Source organism: Homo sapiens, chromosome 8 (genome assembly GCF_000001405.40).
Source record: "Homo sapiens chromosome 8, GRCh38.p14 Primary Assembly".
NCBI classification, from domain to species: Eukaryota; Metazoa; Chordata; class Mammalia; order Primates; family Hominidae; genus Homo; species Homo sapiens.
In genome coordinates this window covers 2,550,110-2,565,645 of record NC_000008.11, presented here as the reverse complement: position 1 = coordinate 2,565,645, position 15,536 = coordinate 2,550,110, and the positions used below count along the sequence as shown (strand labels likewise).

Sequence of the window (15,536 nt, the reverse complement as noted above, 5' to 3'; positions counted from 1 at the left end):
TTCCTGCTCTGAAACTTTTTAATAAACTTTCTCTCCTGCTCTATAACTTGCCTTGATTTCTCACTCTGCTTTGTGGCCGTCAGTCAAATTCTTCTATCTGAGGAGGCAAGAAATGAGGTTGCTGCAAACCTGTGCAGATTCACTGCTGCTAACAGTAATTAATTTACTGAATGAATAAATATTAGAAGCTGTCCTCACTGGGAGCTCTCCCTCTCTCTCTCTCTCTCTCTCTCTCTCTCTCTCTCTCTCTCTCTCTCTCTCCCCCATCTATATATCTCTCCCATATATCTATATAGAGATAGATAGATCGATATAGATACAGTGGTCTCTCTCGCTCTCATATACACATAGTATGAGCACACACACACACACACATATATACAGTGTGTACTCAGTTTCATTTAACTCTTTTCCTTAGAAAAGAGTCTATGTCTTTAAGCACCCTGTGGTCTCCAAAGTTTCAAGCAAATGAAACATTAGCACAATAAAAGTGAATATATGTTCAGGGTAAATAATTGGCCTTATGGACTTTCTCACTGTGCAAACATCCACACACCTCAGGATGGAGCAACAGGAGGTGCTCCGAGCTTAGTCAGTGGGTCCAGGGTCCAGTCTTATATGATGATCTTCTGAAGGTCACCACTTCTTAGAATTTTGTTTTTCTCATAATATTTTATCTAATGCTAAACCTACCCTGAAACCTTATGCAAAATGCCTACAAGGCATAGATACCAGAGCTTCTTCATTGAAACATTAATCCACCTTCTCTCTGTTTCTCAATCTGTCTCTCTCCTGCCCTCTCTCTCTCTTGCTCTCTCTCTTCTCTTCCTAGCCATCCCCACTCTCTCTTTCAACTCAGTCAGTCAAAGCAAGTTGTTTATCAACATAAACAGCTTTTTCTTTCTTCACAAATGACAAGATACCATAAAGTGCTGACTACCAATCCTCAACCATCTCTCTACTGGGAAGTTGTGGTCTCACTTAATTTCCTCCAAGCACTTTGCATCCTCATGTCTTCATCAGATGGAGAAGGCTCCCTTCTAAGGAGACTGTTTTGGAGAATGATATCCAATGTAGCCTGAGTTTTGCTCCACCCGCATCAACTCAACATCTGAATATATTCTTATGCACCTCCTGCTCAGGGACATGCCAGGAAATTTTCTCATATCATTTACTTCTTTGAAGATACGAAGGTCCTGGGAAGCACTGTGCTCCTCCAGTGTGGTCAGCTTGGATGTCCCCTCCTGTGAGATGACTGCTAAGCTCTCCTACCAGCTTTCTGTGGGGGTGATGATGACAATGACTATGATGGTTTCTAATTGATTTGTCGGAATTCTGAATTGATGACCTAACTGGATTATATTTGCTGCTATTGTCCTGACTTTTTCACTTTTCTAAAGGTGTCTTTTGATGAAGAGAAGTAATTAATTTTAATGTTTTCCAGCCTTTTCCTTTAGCATAGTGGCTAGTAATTAAAACTGAAGGCATCTGCTGCCTGATGTTGAGAGTTCCAGGATAAGACTGCAGATTGACTGTGCCCCAGGGCAGTCATCCTCTGATTTCCATCCAACGTGCTGGCAGAGGAAGGCAGTGGACTGTCCAGCCAGAAGGTCCACCACGTCTGGCAGGGGAGGAGAGATCTGAGCATGGCAGAGGCTGGACTAACTGGAACTGAGCCGTAAGCCAGAGGCAAAAGCACATTGGTCAAGGCTCACAGTCAGCACACGACAGAAAAACATCCTCAACATGCAGAGACACAGATGTGAATCCCCGCTCTTCAGTGCATTGTTACTGTGAACTGGGTACTTAATACACTTGCCTGAGCCTCTATTTTATTGTATTAACAAAATCCAGATTAAAACAATAAGATGGATGATTTTAAGTTATGACATTTCCTAGCACTTGATCAATAGTTTCATCACTCACTGGGCAGATGGGTGGAAATGTGCAGAAACTGAATGAATGATGAAAAAAATAGCAGAAGTGAACAATATAAAGCAACATAATGGAAATTGAAATACAGTTGACATATTATTGAATTATTTCTTCAGTTTAAAAATCACTCTCTTGAGCTCTCAAACTATGACAATAACATATTTATAGTTTAAAAGATGTGCTGATATATTTCATGAAGATAAATCCTGCTGGCAGTTTTGTGGAGAGAGTGAGAGGTTCACCCCATTTTACCCTGGGAAAGCTGGGGCACACAGAGCTGTAGGGGAGCCTCAGTTTGTAGGGTCAGGGTCCGGCTTTGTTGGCTTGAAATTATACGCTGCTTCTAATATATATATTTTAAATGAACAGTTAAAAACCTTCCACTGTTAGACGTATTTTATTTCAGATATCAAGACTGATTTACATGATGGACAAATTGTGAAAATCCCATTGAAGGATGAACAGATAAAGACAATGTATGTACCTATCTACAATGAAATATTATTCATAAAGGAAGTCTCATTTTCAGCAACCTGGAGAACACCATGCTAAGTGAAATAAGCCAGGCACAGAAAGACCAGGCCTGCATGAGCTCGTCCTGATGTGAAACCTAAGGGAGTCCAACTCTCAAGTACCGAGACTAGACTGCGGTTAGCAGGAGCTCGGGGAGAGGAATGCGAGGAGATGGTGCTGAAGCAGCACAGACCCTGAGCTATGCAAAGTGAGTGAGTTCTAGAGACCGCTGCACAAGGGTGCCTGTCGTAAGATGGGGAGTGCGCGCTCAACCATGGCTTAAGAGGGTCGATTTCATGTCACGTGCTTCTTACAACAGTTTCTAAAAGGATGAATTCATTCTTCTAGAATCACAATTCTAAATAAAAATAACTCCAGAAAAAAATCGTGTTTCCATTATTTTCTTTTCCAGCAGGGGTTGAGACAGGGTAGAGAGTACGGCTGCAGACAGAGAGGTGCACAGCCCCGTTCATTCAGTCCAGGGAACACACATCCAAGGCCCCTGAGTCCGGCGATTCTTGCAGGCCCAGCCTCCTTTCCTGGATGTCGCTTACTGAGGGTCCTCGCTCTCAGGCACGTGGCTAGCTGACGAGTCCTGGAAACGAACCCATTCCGATATCCATCACCTCCCACGGTGTGGTGCAGAACAAACTCCGAAGTGCTGAGCGGGTCACACAAACTCACCTGAACCGGCCACGGCGACCTTCTCCTGAGTTCTTGCCCTCCTACGGAATTCAGTGTTCACCGCTGGCTCCCTGACTTTTCCAACCTTCCTGGTTTTGCTCAAGCTCCTTCCTGTCATAACTCTCTCCTCCTACCTGTGCCAGCACGACCCTGACCCTCTCGCACATCGCCATGGTTTCCTGCACCGCAACGGAGCAAGGCCCCTCAATCCGAGGACGACGCACAGGGTAGGGGTGCCGCTCCCTGGAGGCAGGCGCGGGGCTGGGTCGTGGGTCCCGGTCCCTGGAGGCAGGTGAGGGGCTGGGTCGTGCGTCCCTGGAGGCAGGTGCGAGGCTGGGTCGTGGGTTCCCGTTCCTGGAGGCAGGCGCGGGGCTGGGCTGTAGGTCAGGAGGTGGAGGAGGAGCCGTCGCAGGCGAGAAGGGCAGGGAAGTTGTGTCCTGGACATAGGGCGGGTCTCATCGCTTCTTCCTCTGGCCCCTTCTGTCCGTGTCCTGAATTCTTTTTCTGGCCGTGGACAGAGCGATGAGGTCGGGGCGGCTGTGACCGTCAGGGGAGAGGAGCAGGCTGGGCGCAGCCGGCGCTGGCCTATTCCCTGCTTCCAGGCAGTGACCTGGGGACGCATCCAGAGCTTGGAATTGCGCCAAGGCTCAAGCCCCGCCTCCGCCGTGCGCTGCTCAGGGACCCAGGGCCTGGCGACTTTGGACCTGATGACCCTCAACCAGGCCAGCTTGGGAGCCAGGAGCAGGGACTTCTGCTGAAGGCGGACTTCCCGGCTCAGCAGTTTCTCCTCGGGGTCTGAGCATCAGGTCTTCCTGTCTCCTGCGCCCTTTTAAGGAATTTGTCCCATTGAAACGGGTCTTAGTTTTCAGGATATCCTGTCTGTCTGAGTAGAAGCTAAGTTCTTTGATGGTAGCAGAATGTCTATATTTTTGTCTCGAAATAACTTGCATAGTGACTTGCCTGTAGCAGTCTGAGGAGGGATAAGCTTTGCTCTATGCTCCGGTGGGTGGTAGGATCCCCGGGTTCACAGGGAGGGTGCAGAGGCTCAGGGGTGTGCAGAGGCTCAGGTGGATGCAAAGGCTCACGTGGGTGCAGGGGCTCAGGAGGGTGTAGAGGCTCAGATGGGTGAAGAAGGTCGGGGGGTGCAGAGGCTCGGGGGGTACAGGGGCTCAGTTGGGTGCCAAGGCACAGGAGGGTGTAGAGGCTCAGGTGGATGCAGGGACTCAGATGCGTGCAGAGGCTCAGGTAGGTGCAGAGGCTCAGGTGGGTGCAGAGGCTCAGGTAGGTGCAGAGGCTCAGTTGGGTGCAGAGGCTCAGTTGGGTGCAGAGGCTCAGGAGGGTGCAGAGGCTCATTTGGATGCAGGGGCTCAGGTGGATGCAGGAGCTTAGGTGGGTGCTGAGACTTAGATGGGTGCAGAGGCTCAGGTGGGTGCAGGGACTCAGAAGGATGCAGAGGTTCAGCGGGGTGAGTCACAGGTCCTCCTGACACAAGCAGTGCTAGGGCAGGTTTTGAACTGAAATCCGTCTGACTCAAAAGAACATACCCTTGATTGCTATGTTGTACTTTCTATTTTACAGGTAAAAACTCATTATTTTGTTTTTTTATGAATAAATAAAATCTAAAGATTCTATTTTCATTTAAAATTAATGGTGATAGGAACCTCATGTAGGTGCAAACTTTTAAAAATTATCCTGTCATTATGGTCTGAGAAGTTCCCAAATGCTCATGAGTATGCGTCTTAGAGTATCACACAGTTCAGTCCACATGAATACATGGAGATATAGTTAACCTTGATGTCTGAAATTTCAGAAGTCTGAAATATTTAAGCCAAGTATAATGAACAATGTGGTTTAAAAAAACCTATCCTTTCTATTTAAAACATCTTCTATGCAATACCCAGTGACAAATAATTCACACTGAGAGAAGCTCCACTTTGAATTATGCCAACCAGCTGGAATAAATAAGGAAAAAGTTGACATATCTGACTGTAAATCCAAGCAATAGCATGTGTTTTTCTTATATATAGTAAAAATATGTGAAAGAAAACAGCAGGTCTTTTCCATACTAGTCAGTTACTCACATAAAATATTAGTTGTTCAACTCCTTCGGAGAAATTATTGAGCAAATACAAAGTTTTCAGTCCATGAGAGACTGAAAGTACTTTGGAAAATTGAAGCTAATTATTGAAACCATATTAGCAATTGCAAATGAGATTTGGCTGTGTGTGTATGTGTGTGTGTGTTTTAAAGTAAAGTAGTATTGTCTTATTAGAATTACAAGTAGTTTTTATATAATGTCTTTGTATTAACATTTCAAAAGTAGAGTTAATAGTATATTCCATTTCATATACCCATTGTCCAGTTTGAACAATGATCAATTGCTATGTGCTTGGCATATGCTATGGGAACTTTATGCTCAATTCATGGCCATTTCTGTTTTGTCTAAAACCTGACCATTTTTGCCTCCCCCCAGGGATTTTTTTTGAAGAAAATTTCAAACATTATGTATAATGTTTTCCATATGAAAAAAATTCCATTATATCATTTATATCATTCCCATGATATAAATGAGGAGACAGGGCATGCAGAGGACAGAGCATGCCCCTGGTCCTACAGCTGGTAAGTAGCAGAGGGAAGATTTAAACCTAGCCCTTCATGGTCATGTCCACTTTTTGTGTTAATTATTACAGCTGAATAATGGAACTTGATGCCTGGTGAGCGGACTTTGCTACACGTAGTCTTCGTTTAGAAAGTTGTTTGGGCTACACTGGCTCTTTGGATCTCTATGTGTATGATAGAATTATCTTTTCAAAGTCCAAAAACTCCCTCACTGGAAATTAAACTTGAATTGATTTTGTAAATTAAGTTTGTCAGAATTTCTTATCAGTTTTGAGTCTTCTCATTTATTAACATTTGTTTGTATTTCCTAAGAATATGTTTTTAGAATTTTTACCACAAAGTTCTTAGCACAGGCTGATTTATTTCTAAGTATTTATTATTATGTTTCTAATATTGGTGATATATTTATTTCTGTTGCATTTTTATTTGGTTACTGTTGGTATGGAATGCTATGTCTTCATTTATGGTACTCTGTCCAGCAATCAAAGACCAAACATGTCCAGGACAAAGACCAAATGGCTACCATCAAAGTAAACTTTTCCAGAAAGAAATTTTCTTTGTCTTCCCAAATACTGTCAACATCTCTCTCAGGAGTAAGGTGTCCTTACTGCACTAGATGTGTCCCCACTGTACTCTCCTGGTGGAGGTTTGATGTATGGGGATGGGTGCACACTCCTGCCCGCTCCATCCTTTTTTCAGTTCCAACTCTTAATTCCTTATTTTTAATTCCGATTCCTAATTCCAATGTTTAATTTCAAATCTCCTAGACTCTTGGTGTACATCAATGCCATGTTGCCTTCATAAAGAACTACTCTCTATGTTATCCTTTTACTGCATTTCCATTTAATTTGTAGGATCCTTTAAAGTCTCTGTATCCTAGTACATTATTTTGTTTAGTAGGATCCTTTGAGATTCTTTCTCTATATTGTTGTTATATGTGAACCCTGGCACTATTTTTCCAGCTTTTAGAAGGAGTCCTCATTTTCCAGAACTGTGAGCAGGAAAGACAGTCTCCTGGATTCACTTTTTCCTAATAAAACTGATGTGTTTTTTTTTCTTAGTGAAAAGTCACATAAGATGGATATATGCTATGCAAAAAATAACAATCATATAGACTGACAGAGTAATTGATTCCTTATGCCAGTAGAAGAACAATACCTGGAGGTCCTGAAAGGTAGATTTTCTTGTATTTTCTCTGTATACAGTCACATCTTTTGTACATAGTGGTGCCATTGCCTATTCTTTGTCCAACTTCAAGACTTTTTCTCCGTTAATAAAAACCTCTCATACCATGCTGAGCAGATAGATGAGTGATGGTGACTTCCCTGGTTTCTTCTTAAATGTAATGTTTTTGTTGATTTTCTTTATCATCTTGAAAAAGTTTCCTGGTATTCATAGGCTAGAAATATTTTTTACTATCATAAATGACTCCTGATTGCTATTGAATGCTCCTTTGCTTTTAGATGAATGATCAGATGGCTATTACCATTTAATAAATTATGTGGTGATTTGAGTTGACAGATGCACGGATGTTGAATAATCCTTGCACTCATGATATAAACCCTACTTGTACATGGTGCATTTTTAAGGCACTATTGAATTCATGTCTCTTGCATTGATCATCTAAGAATACATCCATGAAAGACTTTGCCTTTAATCACCTGCACTTGTTCTTTGCTTGCCCAATTTTGGTATCAAGATTATAATTCCCTCAAACAATGACTCCAGAAGTTTTCTCTTTTTTATTTTGTATAACTCCTTGAAATGTGGAAAAGTAGGATATTTAAAAATCCAACAAAATGAAACAATGTTGAAAAGACTCCCTCTCTCTCCCATTTTGGGGAAGGGTCGTGCCAGGCTAAAGCAGCACCTCTCCACCCCACGAACACTGCCCTCTGGTCACCGTATCAGCATGAGTCTAGGACAGAGATACAAGGGTCTTGCAGGTATAACCAAGGTCCTAAGTCACTTGGCTGTAGGATATGGGATTGGACAAGGGTCCTGAGCCAGTCAGGTCTCAGCTGAACCTTTGGAGCATTGTCTGCCACAGATGGGAGAAGAGGAAGTAGCCAGAGCTGAAGCATTTGGGGGATGCAACACTCCCTTGCTGGCTTGAAGAAGGAGGGGCTGCATGAGACTTTGAGCAGCTGGGGGGCCCAGAACGTCCTCGATGATGTCAGCATGGAAAAGAGACCATCAGCCCTACCACCTGAGTGCGGGTTCAGCCCACTCCAGACTGAGTTCAGCTGGGTTATTCACCAGATCCCCGACCAGAGCCCGGCCCAGCTGATGTCCGGGTGTGAGCCTCTGGATTCTCTTAACATAGAACCAGCCAAGCCCCCGGACTTCTGGCCCAGAGATTCATGAGCTAATAAGCAGGTGTCGTTTTTAGCTGCTAATTCTATGCCTTCTTTTTCGTGGTAATGTAAACTGTAGGTGGTGGTTGGGGACGAAGGCAGGCAGGATGCAAGAGCCCTGGGTGACTCGAAACAGCCTGAGGTCCCCCAGGAGGCAGGGAGGCCGTGGAGGTGTCCAGTGCAAAGGCATCTTCCCCGTATCTCAGCTGCCATCAAAGCCTCTCCCCGCTGCCTTAGCACCCCACCTCCAATTAGTCTTCACAGAATTCCCTTTGATCTCACTGAGTCTTTTGCTACAGGACCTAAGTCTGACATCAGGGTTGTTCTCCTGTGATCCCATCAAAGTTTTAGTTCCTCCTCAGCTCTGAATTATTTTCTTTGGACTTCTATACTTGCTTAGTGTGTTGACACTGCAGTATTTGGTCATTTTTGCTTTTTCTTTCTTTCTTTTTTATTTTATCATGATAAGAACACTTAGCATGAGATCCACCCTGTTTACAGATGTTTAACTACCCAATACAGTGGTATTGACTATGGGCCAATGCTGAACAGCAGGTCTTTAGAACTTGCTTGATGAAAACTTTGTAATTTGTAACTCGCCCCTTTCTGCTCCCTCCAGAAACCACCTTCTACTCTGATCCTTTGAGTTTCACTCCTTTAGATCCCTTCATATAAGTGGAATAATGCAGCCTTTGTCTGTGACTGGCTTATTTCACTTAATACGATAACCTCAAGGTTCAACCATGTTGTCTCAAGCTGTAGACTTTTCTTGTTTCTTAAGGCTGAAAAGCATTCCATTGTATGTGTATGCCACATTTTTAAAAATCTATTCATCCGTACGTGATATTTAGACTGTTTTCATGTCTTGGCTATGCTATTGTGGATAACACTGCTAAACACATGGGGGGTGCTGATGTCTTCTTAAGATCCTGATTTCCATTTTGTTAGACAAATACTCAGAATTGGGATTGCTGGATCTTATGTTAGTTCTGTTTTTATTTTTTAGAGGAATGTCCATAGTGTTTTTCATACTAGCTGTACCATTTTGCAATCCCAGGTGAAGATAACAGAATCACGGGGATGGTTTCCCCCACACTGTCCTTGTGGTAGTGAAGAAGTCTCATGAGAGCTGATGGTTTCATAACGGGGAGTTCCCCTGCACACACTCCCTTGCCTGCTGCCATGTAAGATGGGACGCTGCTCCTCATTCACCTTCTGCCATGACTGTGAGGCCTCCCACGCCATGTGGAACTGTGAGTCAATTAAACCTCTTTCCTTTATCAATTACCCAGTCTCGGGTATGTCTTTATTAGCAGTGTGAGTACAGACTACTACGTATGTGAGAAATGTCTATTGAAACCTTTGGCCCATTTTTAATTGGGTTATTAGTGTTTGTGCTATTGAGTTGCAGGAGCTCCATATATATTTTGGAAATTAATGCCTTATCTTACTTATGGTTTACAAATGTCTTCTCCCATTCCATACGTTCTTTAGGTTGCCTTTTCACTCTCTTGTTGTTTCCTGTGCTGTGCAGAAGCTGTTCAGTTTGATCTAGACCTATTGTTTAGTTTTGCTTTTGTTGCTTGTGCTTTTATTATCTATCGTATCTAAGAAATCATTAACATGACCAATGTCATGAAGCTTTTTCTTAATGTTTTCTTTTAGTAGTTTTACTGCTTCAGGTATCACACCTAAGTGTTTAAATGATTTTGGGTTGATTTTTGTGTATGGTGCAAAATTGGAGCCCAATTTTATTCTCCTGCAGGTGAATATACAGTTGTTTCCCCAGCACTGTTTTCTGAAGTGATGTCCTTTCTCCACTGGGTATTCTTGGCCTCCTTGAGGAAGGGCAGTTGATCATGCATGTGTGGGTTTACTTCTTGGCTCTCTATTCTGCGAGGAACATGAGAATTGCCGTAAGGATGACGGTGGAGTCTCTATTTAAGAATTTCACAAATCTCAATAACCAATTTTATTTTTTAACAAAAATATATTGAACTATTTGTATGGGGAGGCATTTGCATATTGATAACTAAAAGTAGATGAGATAGTTCTGGCTTCAAGGAGTTCTAAACCATAAAATAGAGGACAATGTTGGATCTAATCTTCTCCTTATCATAGTTAATCCCAAAGAGAAACATGGCAACAGGTTATGCACAAAAAAAAGCCAAGGTCACCATCATCTCGAGGGTGAACATCAGCAAAGATCAAGCCTGAATATTGGAACACCTCTCCTTGTTTAAGTTTATACACAAATATTCCATTCTGGAAAAAAAATACCAGAGTAAAAATAATCAGTTTATTTATTTATTTATTTCCCCAGGGAAAACAAAATCAGATTGAATTAGGACTCTGAAACACAACATAAAGCCACAGAAAGGTTTATGGAAACTAGGAACTAAAAATACAGCATTTTTCTTCATATCAAGCCCTTTAGATTGATATTTTGAAAGCCCAAGAATGTATAAATAGATAATAATAAGATTTAACATTTATGCAGCATTTGCTATTTGCCAAATTTTCTCTTGTTTTACATATGTCAACATATTTAAATATCACAGCACCATTTTGAGTTGATACCTACTATTATGCACATTTTATAGAAGAGGAAACTAAGACCCAGTAGATTAATGACTCTTCTCAAGACCCCAAAGCTGGCAGGTGGCAGAGTCAGAGATACCCCTAGAAAGCTGGCCTCCAAACAGTGCACTCTGCTTTATGTTAGCACTCATGCAGCACTACTATTTTCTCCAGGAATTTCAGCAGACAGAAAATAAAAAGGTAATTGCATTGCCAGATACATTCATTCAGCATTAACCAGGCATCTCCTGTGTGCCATACATTCTCCTGGAGTCACATTACAGAACAAATGAATCCTATATGGTCTTTGCCTTGATCAGATTCACACAAAGTTATTAAGGAAACAGCACAAATCTTTATCTTTCTGAAATGCAATGCATTCCTTTAGTTCACTAGCTCTGGGCATCTAAACAGTGTAAGAAATGCTCCACACGGATAGAATCCTGTAAGGTTTAAAATGCAAAATTATATTGGAAGAAAAAATGGAAAATTATTTACACAAAGTAAAATCTAACTTGGCAGTCAGCGCTATTTACTTAGAAAGAGGAAATTAATATGCATGACCATCAGATGTGTCTACAGTTCAGACACTTTGCAACCATAACTGCATGTAACAAAGGTTCAGATTGGAACAGGAGCCTGCAAAACATTCCCCAAATAAAAAATTGTAAGACAGACTGACAACTCAAAGGATTATACTTCAAGTGAGGCAAAAGAGTAGGAAAGTGTATTCGTCCATTCCTTCACTGCTATTAAGAAATACCCGAAACTGGGTAATTTATAAAGGGAAGAGATTTAATTGACCCACAGTTCCGCATGGCTGGGGAGGCCTCAGGAAACTCACAATCATGGCGGAAGACAAAGGAGAAGCAGGCATCTTCTTCACAGGCTGGCGGGGTGGATGAGCACAAGCAGGGGAGATGCCAGAGGCTTCTAAAACCATCAGATCTCGTAAGACTCAGTCACTATCACGAGAACAGCACGGGGGGAACCACCCCCATGATCCAATCACTTCCACTCGGTCCTGCCCTTGACATGTGGGGATTATGGGGTGATGGGCATTACAATTCCAGATGAGATTTTGTGTAGGGACACAAAGCCTAACCATATGGGAAAGGTAGTTTTTACTGAGTGGATGAAAATAGATCACCCGATGCAAGGAAGAAGAAGGAGAGTTTCATCTAATAGCATAATGATTGGATGGCTTTGATACCCAGCAAATTCTCAGTAGCTCAGGAATGCAAGGCTGTGGGCAGCAGGACAAGGGCCTAGTTATCACTGGAGCTATTGGTGAGATCACTTGCTTCTCAGGGACGTGGATGGAGGCGGAGGCCATTATCCTTAGCAAACTAGTGCAGGAACAGAAAACCAAATACCAAACGTTCTCACTTCTAAGTGGGAGCTAAATAATTAGAACACATGGACACATAGAGGGGAACAACACACACTGGGGCATTTTGGAGGGTGGAGAGTGGGAGAAGGGAAGGGATCAGGAAAAATATTAAATAACTAATGGGTACTAGGGTTAATAGCAGGGTGATGAAATAATCTCTACCACAGACCCCCATGACACAAGTTTACCTATGTAACGAACCTGCTTTTACCCCTGAACTTAAAACAAAAGTTAAAAAAAATTAAAAATAAAAGGTATTGTAAATCAGTATTTTTCAAATGGTGCACCATAACCCATCAATGGGTTTCGAAAACATTATAGAGGTTCACAACCATCATTTGTTTTTGCGACAGAATAGAATAGATCAACATACAGAGTACTTTAAATAACAAAGGTTGTGATGGTTTGGTAAGATTTTTCAATTATATAAGCCCTTTTGTGTTTATGTATATGTTTATATGATTATATGTTTATAATTACATATTTATATGTATGTATATATTTACTTGACATCACAATGAAAATCTTATTTTATGCTAAGGGTCAAGTTTAACTAAAGTATAAAACAGTACTTTAGACCTTTTTTTTTTTTTTTTTTTTTGAGATGGAGCATCGCTCTGTCACCCAGACTGGAGCACAGTGGTGTGATCTCAGCTCACTGCGACCTCTGCTTCTCGGGTTCAAGTGATTCTCATGTTTCAGCCTCCCAAGTAGCTGGGATTACAGGTGTGTGCCACCGTGCCTGGCTAATTTTTGTATTTTTAGTAAAGACAGGGTTTCACTAAGTTAGCCAGGCTGGTTTTGAACTCCTGACCTCAAGTGATCCATCCACCTCAGTCTCCCAAAGTGCCGGGATTACAGGCATGAGCCACTGTGCCTGGCCTGCTTTAGAGGTTTGTTTGTTTATTTATTTATTTATTTATTTATTTTGCATATTCTGAAGATACAGAATATGGCAAGCACATTTTAGGTACTCAAGTAAAATTCAGCACATTTCAGAAAGAATACTATGTAAATGATTATCTAGGGACTGGATTACTGCTCTACAATAAAGTAAACACACCACCAATACACAATGACAAAGGTCATACCAAAATCTTATGCTGAATAATACAAGTTAGGCATGAAGTAAAACATGCTCAATGATACTATCTATATAGAAATCCTAGAAAAGACAAAAAGCTCAAATACAGTACCAGAAAGCTGATCAGTATTTGCGCAGGAGCTGGGAGAAGGGGCATGAGAACATTTTGAAATTATGGAAATGTTTTATTTCTTGATTGACATGTGGTTATATGGATATGAATATTCATTAGAATGTCCCCTCACTCTACACTTAGTATAGGTACATTTAATTATAAAATATAATTCTATGAAGCTAATCAAATGGCTGTTAAAGAAAGTTTTGGTACTGAAATAAACCTATTAACAAATTGGAAGTTCCTTTTTCTTCCTTTCTTTGTTTTAATGCAACTCCTTAACTATGCCAAAAAATGGAAACCCTCCTGAATATGGTAAAATGTTTAATGGTCGTTTGAAAGCATTCAAGGTAACCACAGCCGACACCCTATTTTGGTTGAAAGTTGCCCTTATGAGGCTCATGCTATTTCTCTCACTATGAAGAATTTCTGTTTACAGAATCATTCCAAGCTTCCTGTGCCTCATCCTGCAGGCCACCTACTCATTAAGGCTGAGCCTGGGTGCATCCATCCAGGCTCAAGATCACTCCGGATGGCCCCCCTACCCACCATCACTACTGCTTGTTCAACACAGAGAAAATATTTTGGAATCTCAGCTGCATATTAGTGTTTGTCTCATTACCACAGCCATGCCCGCTCTGTTTGCATTTGGTGATATGGTTGTGGCTCATTTAATATATTGACTTCTCCTTTACCTCTGCTAGCCCTGGAAGAAGTCACTGATTCTCATTGATTTAACTAACTAATCTCATGAATAAACTTCTGTCGACAGCCCCAGTAGCCACATTAAGTCTTCATGCCCTTCCCGAGCACTGGTGTTGCCTGCCAGGGTGCCCCTTCCTGTCCGTTTCTGCACACGCCCAGACTCATTCAGCCAGAGCCACTCCTCTTCTCTCCACCTCCCTCCCCAAGTGGTGTGGTTGTTCCATGAATGCTGCTGACTTGCGCATGGAATACGTGACAGCTCTCTCTCCTCTTCATGCCTTTCCATTTCCCTCCCAATCCTGACTTTTCCTTTGATCAACTCAAGTGTGGAAACACTTTCTACTCTACATTTTCCTTTCAATAACTGTTTTTAAACCTTGAAAATTTCCTTTTATTCTTCTGTTTTCCACGTGCCAAGAAATAACACAAAGAATGCAAACAAACAATGGGAAAACAGAAACCATTCAGTTGTCAGGAACACACATCCTATTTTATGGAATGAAATGTTGACCCCAATTCCAGAAAAAAAAAAAAGAAAGAAAGAAATCCAGTAATCCAGTAGATATTCTTAGTTGGATGGTACTGAGGGCTTATATGTGTGTATTTATAGAGAATCTTCTTGAAATAGCTATATGATGTGATTAAATTTAACGAAGCCTCGTGTAAATAAAAAATGTTAATTTTCATTATAGTAGAACCAAATAAATAGAATTTTATTAAATTCCTCATAGATTATAATGGGGCACAAAGGGGTTGTGCCCGAAACTTACTGTGCTCCTTGAAAAGTTTGGAGAGACAGTGTTAAAATGAATGGCCCTAAAATAGTTAAGAAATCTCAGTCTTGGTGTTTTTATTTATTTATTATTTTATTATTTTTTATTTCTTTCTTTATTATTTTTTTCTTTGAAACAGTGTCTTGCTCTTTCTCCCATGCTGGAGTGCAGTGGCGCATGATCTTGGCTCACTGCAAGTTCTACCTCCTGGGTTCAAGCGGTTCCCTGCCTCAGCCTCCCAAGTAGTTGGGATTACAGGCGCCCACCACCATGCCCAGCTAATTTTTGTATTTTCAGTAGAGACGGGGTTTCACCATATTTTCCAGGCTTGTCTTGAACTCTAGACCTCGTGATCCACCCACCTCAGCCTCCCAAAATGCTGGGATCACAGGCATGAGCCACCGTGCCCGCCCAATTTCAGCCTTATTTCTGACTTCTGGCCCTGGCACTGTGTTTCATATTGAGAAATCTTGATACTGGTTTCTGACAGAGGGTAGGATATACGTCCCATAAGGGTGTTTAAGACAGAGGGGTGCAAATGGCTCTTCTGTGGAGTCTGTTTAGTTTCTTTAGCAAACACATGTAGCCTAAATAGCCCACCTCATCCTTCCATCTGTCAGGCTCTGCTGTTAACTGTGGAGCGGCAAAAATCAGCTTAATGTGCTTCTCAAGACAAACCTAAGAGGCAAGCACCATCATTGCTCCTGTTTTACAGAGGAAGCAACTGAGGCACGACCAGGCTGAGCAGCTTGGCGAAGAGTCCGCAGCTGGTGAGTGG

General features: G+C 41.9%; 1 long non-coding RNA gene across 1 annotated transcript in view, besides 1 other annotated feature; it reads left to right on the top strand.

Moving 5' to 3' along the window:
* Nucleotides 1-15,536, top strand: part of LINC03021 (long intergenic non-protein coding RNA 3021) — a 198,360-nt gene that overhangs the window by 162,806 nt on the left and 20,018 nt on the right. The gene's annotated exons all lie outside the window — the stretch shown is intronic.
* Nucleotides 2,704-3,243: an enhancer, noted in NCBI's record as "H3K4me1 hESC enhancer chr8:2419495-2420034 (GRCh37/hg19 assembly coordinates)". NCBI's record gives its function as "activates a minimal SCP1, AML or CMV promoter by ChIP-STARR-seq in primed H9 embryonic stem cells {active_cell/tissue: H9 hESC(primed)}" and the evidence as "EXISTENCE:reporter gene assay evidence [ECO:0000049][PMID:30033119]".